Source organism: Homo sapiens, chromosome 3 (assembly GCF_000001405.40).
Source record: "Homo sapiens chromosome 3, GRCh38.p14 Primary Assembly".
In the NCBI taxonomy this organism is placed as follows: Eukaryota; Metazoa; Chordata; class Mammalia; order Primates; family Hominidae; genus Homo; species Homo sapiens.
The window spans coordinates 166928985-166943570 of record NC_000003.12 but is presented as its reverse complement, the minus strand read 5'-3'; the positions used below and the strand labels follow the sequence as shown (position 1 = coordinate 166943570).

The 14586-nt window shown below is 34.6% G+C and overlaps 2 long non-coding RNA genes across 4 annotated transcripts in view; one reads left to right on the top strand and one right to left on the bottom strand.

The window, feature by feature from the left end:
- The window catches only part of LOC105374193 (uncharacterized), a 75141-nt gene that overhangs the window by 31149 nt on the left and 29406 nt on the right, over positions 1–14586 (top strand). For all 3 annotated transcript variants that reach the window (XR_924675.3, XR_924674.3, XR_007096289.1), the window contains exon 6: positions 14016–14135. This is a non-coding gene — a long non-coding RNA (uncharacterized LOC105374193). The remainder of the gene's footprint in view (positions 1–14015; positions 14136–14586) is intronic.
- The window catches only part of LOC105374194 (uncharacterized), a 33142-nt gene continuing 30302 nt past the window's right edge, over positions 11747–14586 (bottom strand). Inside the window, exon 3 of the long non-coding RNA NR_135545.1 lies at positions 11747–11793. This is a non-coding gene — a long non-coding RNA (uncharacterized LOC105374194). The remainder of the gene's footprint in view (positions 11794–14586) is intronic.

Sequence of the window (14586 nt, the reverse complement as noted above, 5' to 3'; positions counted from 1 at the left end):
TATCATTTTATTGTACTCAGATTTCTTGGACTAGGTTTTGACTTTCTTCTGAACGTCAATGATCTTCATTCCTATCTATATTCTGAATTCTATTTCTGTCATTTTGGCCATTTGGGTCTAGTTAAGAGCCATTGCCTAGGAACTAGTGCAGCCATTTGGAGGTAAGAAGACACTCTGTCTTCATGAGTTGTGAGAGTTCTTGCCCTGGTTCTTTCTCATCTGTGTGGGCTGGTGTTCCTATTACTGTGGTGTTATTTGAGTGTAGTCATTTGGGTTAGTTTCTGGATTTTTTTTTTTTTTAGACAGAATTTCGCTCTTGTTGCCCAGGCTGGAGGGCAATGGCATGATCTCAATTCACTGCAACTTCCGCCTCCTGGGTTCGAGCGATTCTCCTGCCTCAATCTCCCAAGTAGCTGGGGTTACAGGCATGCGCCACCAGCAGGGTGTCAGGGGCTCACAGAGAAGAGAGATTGGGCTCCTCTCCATATGGCAACTTTGGCATGCTCGAGGCACAAATAAAGCCCTACGCTGCTTATTTCCCAATATGAGGACAACAAGGGAAAAACAACTGTGGTGGCAATGGCAGAGAGGCTATCAGTTGCCACTGGGAGCTGCACTCCAGGGAAACAGAGCCACCACCAGTGGGAATGATCAGTTGGAGTTGGGGGTGGGGCATCTGCTTTGTGATCCTGAGCCAGGGGCCCTCCATTTTGAGCAGTAGAGGGTGGAGGTTCACAGAGAAGAGAGGCTGGGCTCATCTCTGTATGGTGCTTGCAGCATGCTGAAGATGCCAGCCACACAATCAGGCCCTTTTTCTTTCTTCCTTAGGCCTAGGACCATAAGGGTGGTACCACTGGAGCTGTAATAGGAGATGGACTGTAAAGAGAGGGGTTGTCTCTGGGATTTTCTCCCCACAGAAACACAGGCCTGTCACCAACTAAAGTGTTCAGTTTGGGGCAGGGAGGCTGTGCTGGGGGGCCAGGTTGAGAGGCCCTGCTCAGTGAAGAGTAACAGGGGCAGGAAACTGCCTGAAAAACAGTCTGGCTGCTTTTCCATAAGGCAGCTGTGCTGTACTGGAGGCCTGAGTTCGTCCTTAGAGTTTTTTCTTGCTCCTAATCCTGAGCACAATAGGAGTAGCAGCTGTAGAGCTGTGGGCCTTCCTGCTACAAGTGGGGGCACCAGGTGAAGGGATTTTGAAAGAGGCAATGGCAGAGGGCCTTTCACCTGGGACAGAGCTCGGTCCCAGGGAGCACAGAGGTGCTACCAGTCTTCGTTATTGTTTATCATATAAAATTTTGGAGGCAACCTAAATATCTCTCAGTAAATAGACAGTTAATAAATTATAGTAGGTAGATACTATTGCAATGTCATGTAGCTGTTAAAAAAGTAAACATATATGCAATGAATGTAAAGATGTTAAGTAAGAACAGCGAGTCTCATGATCATTTATCCATTTAAGGCAATTTATGCTGAAAATTGTATTGATACATATTTACATAAGTGAGCTCACACAGATGTGTACACATACACACAAATGATGTATAGAACATAATTAGGGATTGCAAAGTGGATATTATTAGCACTGATTGCCTCTGGGAGAGAAGTGTATTAATAGGGAATTTTGCCTTTTTTCTTTTATATTTTATATAGTTTAAAATTTATGTGTTTATTAATTTTGAATTTTTTTCTCCTTTATGCGCCGTTGGACTTGAATTAGTTTTGAAATTTATGTAAATTAAGATAAATAATTTTGGGGGGAGCGGTGGTCACTGAAAGAATATAGTATCCATTGTGTTCTGACAATTTATATATGTACCCAGAATAAGTTTAGCTCTTGATGACACTGGGGCATAAGCAGTGTCTCTGCTGCTTCTCTTGAAAAAGTTGACTTTGCTTTCTAAACTTCAGTTTGTTTATAAGTAAAATGAAAGGACTGGATTATAGGACCTTACATAAACCTAGATCTTATATTCTGTGATTCTATAATCCTCACGACTGGAAGAACGCATGAGTCTTGCACTAGAACTAAATATATGTGCAACTGATCACAGTTAGGTTCTATACTCAAGATGAAGCCACAGTGATCTCCTAAAAATATAAGCCTTGAGATAGAGATAAAATCTTGTAGTCTTTCTGGAAGCTGAAGCTGTTTAAACTATTTATATAAGATATTAAACTAGATGCTCTCTGCTGTCAAGTTTTCTGCCATGTGAACCACATTGTGGGTCTTCAGAGAGCATAAAACAAATGCCTAGAGAATAGGAAATGTGGAAGATGGGGAACTGGGCTTGGTATTAAATCCTAAGGCCCAGCTATATTGATTTCCTGGTAGTTTATGAGACACCTCATTACCTTTGTAAGTCATTTCCCTTTTTGCTTAAGGTATTCCAATTTTGATTTCAGTCAGTGAAAAAGAATCTCATCCAGTGCAGACCTTTTCTTTCTCTCCATTTCCACTTCCCTTGTGCTCAAGGCAACTTCATATTGATCTAAGTCACTTGTGTAAGAGCACAAAGTAATATATTAAGTTCATTTAAGTCAAAATGCTAGTGAAAATACTGTACAACATTGCAAAAGCATGTCATTTATAAAAGAGATGATTTTACTTTTTTCAAAGCATTTCCAGTGGTGTAATTTTAGCTATTGTGAAAACTAGAACAGGATCTTACTCTGGTAGACAGAAAGGTTTAGCCTCTCACTGAAATTGAGTAGACTCTTGATTTTTATGACCATGTACAAAGCTAAATTTGAGGGATTGGTCAAATGAGACAGATAATTGTTCATTCTCTGTAAAGTGTTGGGTTTGATCTCTCTTACTACCGCTCCAATAGTTTTCTTTTGTCTACAGGGAAAGAAGCAGAAAATTTTTAAAAATGCTTTTGAATTCAAATGTGAATGCTTTTGTGTTAGGAAGCACAATGATGCTCCTACTAGCATTAAGAAAATGATAGCTGCATTTCTTTAAATCGAGATCATTAAAATAAAATTACATTGCTAGCCTTTATATTCCATGTAAGATATTCTATAATTAAAATAATGTTCTCATTTAAAACACAAGCTCATAATTTGCAAAGCGGCATTATTGCCTATGCAAACATTGTGAAACATAAACAAATTTCCACTAGAATGCCCACACAATAAAGAAGAAATTGCCTTTATTATTTTGTATACCACTAAGCACTTAATATTACAATTTAATTGGATAATTTAAAGTTGTTAACATAATAGATGGCATAAACACTCTAGGTCAAATAAAAGAGTACATTTACTTATAAATTTCACATTGATTGAATATAATTTTAGGTGTGGCTATATTAAATAACTGAAATCATTAGATGTGTATATTTTTACTGATTAAGCAATGAAACTTTCTTATGTTTAAATACAAAAGATTTAATTTTACTACAAGTGAAAACTTATCTGGGCCTCAGTTTTCTTTTTTCTACATTGGAGGTCACAGCAATTTCCTTAAGTCATTTGTGATAAATATTAAGCTGAATCAGAAATATAAAATGTCTGAGACTGTTATATCACTCAATACAATTATTTATTTTCATAATGCTCATTAATTTAAGTGCTGCAAAGCTATTTTTTCTATTTGTTATTTTACATTTCACATTGTAATTTTGCTCAGATTACCTAAAATAGATAACTGAAGCAAACTACTTCGGCAATAAAGGTAAGGTGTGTAATTTACGTCACAATGTATATATACATGTGGTTTCTGTAGCTTAGCATTATCTTGTGTTATTTTAGAATCACTGTCAAGTGATTCTAAAACACTGAACCAAGTGTTCCTGATGAAGATCACTGGTAGAGCTCTTGATGACAGAAGAGCAGAAATAAAGCTGCACGCTTACAACCCTATGAACTTTGACTAAGTAGACAATGTCAAGCAATGAAGAAAGAACTCTCCATTCAATAAAGGGTGCTAGGATAACTGGCTAGCTACATATGCCAAAGATTAAAACTGGACCCCTACATTTTACCATATACAAAAATCAACTCAAGATAGATTAAAGACTTAAATATAAAGCCTAAAACTATAAAAATCCTAGAAGAAAAGCTAGGAAATACCATTCTGGACATAGGCCCTGGCAAAGATTTCATGGCAAAGATCCCTAAAGCAATTGCGATAATGACAACAACAAATATTGACAAGTAGGACCTAATTAAACTAAAGACCTTCTGTATAGCAAAAAACACTATTGACAGATAAACAGACAAACTATAGAATAAAATAAAATATTTGCAAACTTTGCACCCAGCAAAGATTTAATATTTACAATATAGAAAAAACTTAAATAAGCAAACAAAATCAAACAACCTCATTAAAAATAGGCAAGGGATGTGAACAGACACTTCTCAAAAAAAGACATGTGCATTACCAACAAGCATATCAAAAGTGCTCAACATCACTAATCATTAGAGAAATAGAAATCAAAAGCATCTCATGCCAGTCAGAATGGCTATTATTAAAAAGTCAAAAAATAACAGAGGCTGGTGAGGATGCAGAGAGTCAGGAATACTTATACCCTGCTAGTGAGAATGTAAATTAGTTCAGAGACTGTGGAAAACCATCTGGAGATTTCTCAAAGAACCTTAAACAGAATTACCGTTCAACCCAGCCATCCTATTATTGGATATATAGCCAAAGGAATATAAATTGTTATACCATAAAGACAAATGCATGCTTATATTCATTATAGTACTATTCACAATAGCAAAAATACATAATACCAACCTAAATGCCCATCAATGGTAGACTGGATAAAGAAATTATGGTACATAAACACCATGGAATAGCATACAATCATAAAAGAATAATAATGTGTTTTTTGCAGAACATGTATGGAATTGGAGGCCATTATCCTAAGCAAATTAACGCAAGAAAAGAAAATCAAATACCATATGTTCTGTCTTATAAGTTGAAGCTAAACATTGAATACACATAGATACAAAGAAGGAAATAATAGATACCAGGGTCTATTTGAAGGTGGAGGGAGGTAGCAGGGTGAGGATTAAAAAACTACCTATTAGGTAGTATACTCATTCCCTGGATGATGGAATAATCTGTACACCAAATTCTCATGACACATAATTTACCCATGTAACATATATATACCCTGCACATATAACCCTGAACCTAAAATAAAAGGTGAAAAAGAAAAGTAGAAGAAACAACCAGAAATCAACTGAGGAGAATGTTACTGTTGGTGAATATGGTGGGTTATCTAGTTCTCTTTCGTTCTTAGTGGGCAGTGAAGCCTAGAAAATAGTTCTCACCTTGTCAAAATGATGTTTTGGAAATTAAAATGAGAAATAACTAAGATCAGAACGGAACTGAAGGAGATTGAGACATGAAAAGTCCTCCAAAAAAATTAATGAATCCAGGAGCTGATTTTTTTTGAAAAAATAATAAAATAGACCTCTAGCTAGACAAAGAGAGAAGAATCAAATAGAATCAAAAATAATAAAGGGGATATTATCACTGACCCCACAGAAATACAAACTACCATCAGAGAATATTGTAAACACCTCTTGCAAATAAACTAGAAATTTAGAAGAAATGAATAAATTCCTGAACACATACACCCTCCCAGGAATAAACAAGAAAAAAGTCAAATCCTTGAATAGAACAATAACAAGCTCTGAAATTGAGGCAGTGATAAATAACCTACCAACCAAAGAAAAGCCCAGGACCAGATGATTCACAGCCAAATTCTACTAGAAGTACAAAGAGGAGCTGGTACCATTCCTTCAAAAAATAATCTAAACAATTTAAAGGGAGGGACTCCTCTCTAACTCATTTTATGAGGCCAGCATCATCCTGATACCAAAACCTGGTAGAGACACAACAAAAAAAGAAAACATCAGGCCAATATCCCTAATGAACATCAATGCTAAAGTCCTCAATAAAATACTGGGAAACCAAATATAGCAACACATCAGAAAGGTTATCCACCATGATATAAGTCAGCTTCATATCTGGGATGCAAGGCTGGTTCAACCTATGCAAATCAATAAATGTAATCTATCACATAAACAGAACCAATGACAAAAACCACATGATTATCTCCATAGATGCAGAAAATGCCTTCAATAAAATTCAACATCCCTTTATGTTAAAAACTCTCAATAAACTAAGTATTGATGGCACATATCTCAAAACAATTAGAGGTATTTATGACAAACCCACAGCCAATATCATACCGAATGGGCAAAAGCTGGAAGCATTCCTTTTGAAAACTGGCACAAGACAAAGATGTCGTCTCTCAGCACTGCTGTTCAACATAATATTGGAAGTTCTGGCCAGGGCAATCAGGTAAGAGAAAGAAATAAAGGTATTCAAATAGGAAAGGAGGAAGTCAAATTGTCACCGTTTGCAGATAACATGATTGTATATTTAGAAAGCCCCATCGTCTCAGCCCAAAATCTCCTTAAGCTGATAAGCAACTTCAGCATAGTCTTAGGATACAAAATCAATGTGCCAAAATCATGAGCCTTCCTATACACCAACAATAGACGAGCAAAGAACCAAATAATGAATGAACTCCCATTCACAGTTGCTACAAAGAGAATAAAATGCCTAGGAATACAGCTTAACAAGGGATGTTAAGGACTTCTTAAAGTAGAACTACAAACCATTCCTTAAGGAAATAAGAGAGGACACAAACAAATGAAGAAACATTCCATCCTCACAGATAGAAAGAATCAATATTGTGAAATGGACATACTGCCCAAAGTAATTTATAGATTCAGTCCTATTCCCATTAAACTACCACCAACATTCTTCATAGAATTAGAAAAACATACTTTCAAATTCATATGGAAACAAAAAAGAGCCTGCATAGCTGACATAATCCTAAGCAAAAAGAACAAAGCTGGAGATATTACGCTACCTGGCTTCAAACCATCCTACAAGGCTACAGTAACCAAAACAGCATGGTACTTGTACCAAAAGAGACATATAGACCAATGGAACAGAACAGAGACGTCAGAAATAAGACTACACATCTACAAGCATCTGATCTTTGACAAACCTGACAGAAACAAGCAATGGGGAAATGATTCCCTATTTAATAAATGGTGCTGGGAAAACTGGCTAGCCATATGCAGAAAACTGAAACTGGACCCTTTCTTTATACCTTATACAAAATTAACTCAAGATGGATTAAAGACGTAAATGTGAAATCCAAAACCATAAAAACCCTAGAAGCAAAACTAGGCAGTACCATTCTGGACATAGGCATGGGCAAATATTTTATGATGAAATTATCAAAAGCAATTGCAACAAAAGCTAAAATTGACAAATGGGATCTAATTATACTAAAGAGCTTCTGCACAGAAACAAACAACAAAAAACAAACAACAACAACAACAAAACACTATCATCAGGGTGAACAGGCAACCTACAGATTGGGAGAAAATTTTTGCATTCTACCCATTTGCCAAAGATCTAATATCCAGAATTTACAAGGAACTTAAACAAATTTACAAGAAAAAAACAAACAACACTATCAAAAAGTGGGCAAAGGGCTTGAACAGACATTTCTCAAAAGAAGACATTTATGTGGCTGAAAAAAGCTTAACTGATCTTTAAGAGAAATGCAAATTAAAATCACAATGAGGTACCATCTCATGTCAGTCAGAATGGTGATTATTAAAAAGTCAATAAAGGACAGCTGCTCGCATGGCTGTGGAGAAATAGTAAAGCTTTTACACTGTTGGTGGGAAAGTAAATTAGTTCAACCATTGTGGAAGACAGTGTGGCAATTCCTCAATGATCTAGAACCAGAAATACCATTTGACCCAGCAATCTCATTACTGGGTAATATACCCAAAAGAATAAAAATCATTCTATTATAAAGATATATACAGATGTATGTTTATAGCAGCACTATTCACAATAGCAAAGACATGGAACTAACTCAAATGACCATCAGTGACAGACTAGATAAAGAAAATGTGGTACATATACACCATGGAATACTATGCAACCATAAAAGGAATGAGATCATGTCCTTTGCAGGGACTTGAATGAAGCTGGAAGCCATCACCCTCAGCAAACTAACACAGGAACAGAAAGCCAAACACTGCATTTTCTCACTCATAAGTGGGTGTTGAACAATGAGAACACATGGATGCAGGGAGGGAAACAACACACACTCTGGCCTGTCTGTGGGGGTGGTTAGGGGAGGGAGAACATAAGGATAAATAGCTAATGCATGTGTGGGTTAAAACCTAGGTTATGGGTTAATATGTGTAGCAAACCACCATGGCACACATATACCTATGTAACAAACATGCACGTTCTGCACATGTATCCCAGAACTTTAAGTAAAAAAAAAAAAAAAAAAAAAGTTATTCATGCCTTTTCATGGCTTGAGAGCTCATTTTTTAAATTGCTGAATAATATTCCATTATATGAATGTGTCAAGTTTACCTGTTCATCTATGGAAAGACATTTTGATTGTTTCCCATTTTTGCTGACTATGAATAAAGTCACTATAAACATTAACATATAGGTTTTTATGTGGTCATACATTCCCAATTTGGCTGGATGAATATCTAGTAGCATGATCGCTACGTTGTATAGGAAAAGTGTTGTTTTTGTATGAAATAGCCAAGTGGTCTTCCAAAGTGGCTGTGCCATTTTATATTCTCACCAGCATGAGTGAGAATTCTTGTTCTGCATCTTTGTCAGCAATTTGAATTTAGTTTTTTTTTATTATATTCATTCTAATATGTACGTAGTGGTATCTCGTTGTTTTAATTTGCAATTCCCTGATGACTTATGTTGTTGAGAACATTTTCATATGCTTATTTTTAATCTATATAACATTAATTCATTTTTATGTACCCTAAAACTTAAAGTATAATAAAAAAAAAAAGAACATCTCTAAAGACGTATTTTCTGAAACACTCTTTGGGAAATGCTGCCTTAGTTCATTATGAAAATGTAGAAATATTATTCATATACATTTTAGTTAGGTGAAATAATATATGCTTTAAAAAGTTGCATAAAATATCATAACAAAATATTTAACAGGATTTTGTGTGATTTTATTTTGTTGATAATGTGTTGTGGTAGATTTTTAAAAATATTGGAATCAATAACTTGTAATAAATCATATATGTCAGACATTGTCTTATAAGCAACCTCCCATTAGCATGGATATATATTTTTATTCTTGTTCCCTTTTCAGTTGGCTTTCATTCTCTCTTGGCTGCTGCCATGTAAGATGTGCCTTTCACCTTCCAACATGATTGTGAGGCCTCCCCAGCCACATGGAACTGTGATTCCTTTAAACCTCTTTTTCTTTATAAATTACCCAGTCTTGGGTATGTCTATATCAGTAGCATGAAAAAGGACTAATACAATAGTCCTTGTGTTTGTGTTTAGATATATAATGCAAAGTAATGTATGTTGCATATATTCACAGAAGAATGATTGCATACGTATATTAACAGCTAAAATATTTTAATTTAGTTAAAATAGTTTATTTGAAAGTTTTATTGAAATATATGTGTATAAGTGAATGTTTAAATTCATTAAACAATAAATGAGGATGCTTATGAGAAGCAGAATGATTCATGTGCTTTAGTGGAGGAAGGCAGAAATGCAAACAAGTAATTATGATACAATGATATACGTGTTATAAGAATAAAAATGGTAGAGGATGAATGAAATAAAGGAAACAGTAGGATGAATGAAATAAAGGAAAGTAGCAGAAATAGGCCAAGGGAATTTAATACTGTGGTTGTCATTCCATACAGATATAAAATGAGACTAGTCCCCTGTTAAAAAAATGCAATACCTGTGCGTTTCTCAAATATTGGTGAAATGTTAGAGCACTGTATCTTACTGACAGTCATTAATGACTCTAATAAATAGGAAACCTTAGTTCAAGCAAACACATTATTCCAAATGACAGAAGTATAAGCATGACTAATTAATGAATTTGGTAATATTTGTTCCCTATTTATGAGAACATTACCTTGAGTTAGAACTAATTACCTGTACACATAACTCAGAATATGCCAGGTACTTCATGTCATGCTTAATATGATGGTGGCCTCTCTTTTTATTTCAAATATATAATACCTAAATATTAGGTCAGAATAATAATATAAATTAAAAACATTAATTCAAAAGCTATGTTGCAAAACAATACACATTTTCTTTTTCAAATTTGAAAGTAAGATTCAAAGAGCTCTTCTAATTTGTGTACCTGCTATAATTCTCTGGAGAATTAATCATGATATGAGAAATGGAGATGATTTGGCACCTACAATCTTTTTACACAAAATTCAAGCCCAGGCCCTGTCATTCTGTTATCAGGACAGTTCTAAATGCTAGTGAGCTTTTTGCTCTATTATACTTTATTTTAAAAATTTATACATAAATTAGAAAACTCTTTGTATACTGACCTGGAACATTACCAAATTATTTTATTTTCAGAAAAGATAAAAAGAAAATTTTACCTGCCACTTCCCCAATAATTTAACAGCCCCCAAACTGATAGTAAAGGTAAAAGGATATTTGCTTTATTATGTCAAATATTGGCTATTTGTTTTAGGATACAGCATGAATTTCACTGGTAACAATATTATTCATCTGTGCTGTGGAATTGTTTAATATGCTCTTGATATATATTTAAAAACATGTGCATTTCTGTATCATCCCAAATTAGCCATTGGAGATGTGAATAGTTTAAACAATTTATTAAAAAGTCTATGTGTAAAGAGAGTTGATGGGTATTTTATTCTATCTATCTTGTGGAAAATATAGAAAACATGACAGTATTCTTGTCATTCAAAGCTTGAGTCAGAAGAAAAAATAAATATATGTCAAAATTCAGGAATCCTAGTAAGGCTTACAATGATAGAGTGAAGCCATAACGTAGATACTTTTAGAAATCTTGAAGAAGCACTACATGTGAACATCCTAAAACGTATTTACAAAAAACAATTTATTAACGCTCTAATACTGTCCCTTTATTTCTTATCCTCCCTCCCCCTAAATGGCCAAGATACTAAAAAAAAAATCTTACCGGAAGGCAAAAAGAATCTGGCATCGAAGGTGTCCCTGAAAAATGAGGAATGTGACTGACCTGCTCCAGGTGCCAGTTGAAAAAAACAAGAAGAGCAAAAATAAAAGTGAGATTGAGGTGTGATTAGTTAATGCCGGAAACGCTAAGTTGGAAAACTGTTTTTTTTTTTTTTTTTTTTTTTTGAGACGGAGTCTCGCCCTGTCGACCAGGCTGGAGTGCAGTGGCGCGATCTCGGCTCACTGCAAGCTCCGCCTCCCGGGTTCACGCCATTCTCCTGCCTCAGCCTCAGCTGGGACTACAGGCTCCTGCCACCACGCCCCACTAATTTTTTTGTATTTTTTTAGTAGAGACGGGGTTTTACCGCGTTAGCCAGGATGGTCTCGGTCTCCTGACCTCGTGATCCGCCCGCCTCGGCCTCCCAAAGTGTTGGAATTACAGGCATAAGCGACCGCGCCCGGCGGAACACTTTTATTATGAGTTGTTTTGAAATGAATAGAGCAGCATCTCTTTTTGAGTTCAGAATCTCGTCAAATTTCACAATGTATTTTCCTTGGTGTCATTGTATATCATCTAATTTGAACTCCACAATACCTCTGACAGTTGTATAAGATTTTATTCCCTTGTGTTGTTGTGTTGTCTCCAGGATGTACAGTTGAGATCTTGATCTCAGAGTAGCATTGTGGAGAAACTTGTCTAAGGTTGCAGACTCAGGGGTGAAGCCTCGTTTCATCCACACCTGAGGGGAGAAAATAAAACACATAGTCTCAGTAAGCCAAAGGTTCTCAAACACTTTAGTATATAAAACTCACCTGAATGGCTTGTTAAACCAGACTAGTGGGCCCTACGCTCAGAGTTTTTGATTCAGTAGGTTTGGGGAGGAGCCAGAGTACTGACATTTCTAATGAGTTTCCAGGTGATGCTGATGTGCTGGTTCCCGGACCACACTTTGAGAACCTCGGAACTAAGTCTTTTAGCATTGGCCAATCAAATATAAAAATAAGGGCTTCTAGATTCTCTTGTTTAGAGAAAGGAGGCACCCTTACTTCTGGGTATATGATAGCTGTATTCCATACCTTCCATTATTCAATGAGATTTTATTATTCTTTGTTTTTAATCCCTTAAAGCAAGGCATTTTTTTAAAAAAAATTTCTTTGAGGTGAATATAATTTGTATTTTTGTCTTTTTAGGGCATGGAAAGAGAGAGAGAGAGAATGTTTCATTCACTGTTGTAATACTGACTTAGATATTTTAAATTAAATCAGTAACATTTGATTTGCCCAGTGTGGATTATAAAGATATGGATTTTTTCCCCCTTAGTAATTATTTATTTAATAGACTGATTCTGCAACTTTCTACTTGGTAACCTTGGTCCAGTTGCCATTGCAGCTTAGCCTTATTGATTAAATGAAACTAATAACAATAGACTCATGAGGCTGTGTGGGTATAAAATGTAATATGTATAAAATTAACTCATGCAAATAATACATTTATACATATATAAAGACAGATTGTACATACAAAATAATAATTGTATGGATATACAAAATGTTCAAAATCGGTTTCAGGGTGACTTGCAGGATTTTTAAGGATAATTTTGTTCATATATAACATTGAAACTTGTGAAACATTTATTTGATTCTACTTAAGTATTTTTCAGTTAATATTTTATCATCGCACATTTCATGTTTTAGGAAATTTTTTACCCAAATCATGGGAAATGTCTGTCTTCTTTCCAGGCCACAAAGTAGTTAATAAATTAATTTTAAGTCAGTAAATGAAATATGTGAAATTTAAATTCATGAGCTTCAAAGAGAATACAAAGTCCTTCCATTTTTATCCAGATAATATTTTTCAAGAAATATTACAAACACTGGTTTCTTAACTTTCTGGTGGTGAAGGTTCTATCTGAATTATTTCAAATGTCTGGACAAAATTTAATAATTTTTAAGATTAAAATTTTTTTTTTGTCTTAAAAGTGGCAGACAAAATTGTCCATCAATCTCATTTCATGTACAAAAACCTGTCAATGTTTCTTGTCCTGAGGTTGGGCTGCCTTCCCTTTTGTTGCCCAATATGCTTATATGTAAAGAAATTAAAATATAATTTTAACTTTTTCTTTCTTATTTAGGGCACTGAAAAACAGAGCTGCTTCTATTCTCTACCATGCATATTAAGAATAATGCATAAAATACATTCTCATGTTATACTTTAAGACATAAAGACTGAAAAATATTTTGTATGTGTTCATTCCTTTGTAAGAAATTGTCTTGTAGGAATACAACAGTTTAAACACTGCAATTTTGTTTTTCTAATGAAAGTAACCGAGTCCATATGTTCACAGATGAAAGTAACATCAATGCATGATAAATGACTAGGAAGGTCCTTTGGCTTCCTCAACAGACTGTTGAAAAATCCCTGAAAAAAGACATAAGGATAATGATTGCTCAGTGCCATAGATCTAATAACTATAAAGGAGTGATCCTAAACTGGTCATCTAAATACAAACCAGAATTGTTTTTACTCTATTTTGTGTCCTTTCCAGTTTATTTTTTCTAGTGAAAGAGTAGTAGAATAACCTGTTATTAGAGATCCTGACAGAAGCTAACAGAAGATGAAAATAATTAACCCTAAATGCGTGTAGTTCTGTGATGGTGTAGACCTACGCCAGCTGTGGTCTATTGAAATATTATGGCTTTTGTTTTTTAGTCTAGTAATGTAATTACTAAACATCAAGTAAAATTTATTCTTTCATAAGAATTAAGACAAGTTTAAGATAAAATAATTTAAAATATCTACAAAGCAATAACTCTGTAAATTTTCCATTATACAGATATAAATTAATGAGGTGCCTTGTGATGATTTTTAGAAGTAGATAAATATACTATGCCAGGCAATCTTTAATGTTCTATACATTTTCTATCACCCTGTGAAATGGATATACTGGATTCTATTTTTCAGATTGGAGACTGAAAAGAAGAGAAGTTAAGGAACTTGTCTAAGATTATCAAGCAAAAATTTAAAGCTGAAGTTTCAATATTTTCTCAGAAAACAAGAAAAGTTAGTGATCTCATTATAGAAGTAAGTACAATATAATAAATATAAATACATTTAATATATTTAATTAGAAATAATTAAAATTTTCTTACAGTGAAAGGATTTGTATCACTTACATATCATCAATGCAAAGCCAAGATCTAAAGTGGCTCAAAGTATCAACCTTGGTTGGTAAAAATAGTCAAAACAGGCAAACTTTCTGCATTAAAAATGTCACTTAAGTGTATGTAGTCTGTCTTTAATCTATTGCATTTTAGTTAGGACTGAAAAAGAGCTGCAATGTTAGTATGGTACTTGATACTTTACAGAAGAATTTCATGAGTATTTCAGTTTGGCGAGCTATAGACTTTGACAGTTAAAACATGTGTGGTGTGATCACTCGTGGACTATCCCTTCACCTCCCATTACCACCTAACGTTTTCTGCACTCCATTTGGAATTGGAACTGCTTGAAGAAAAGCATTAGCATACTTTTA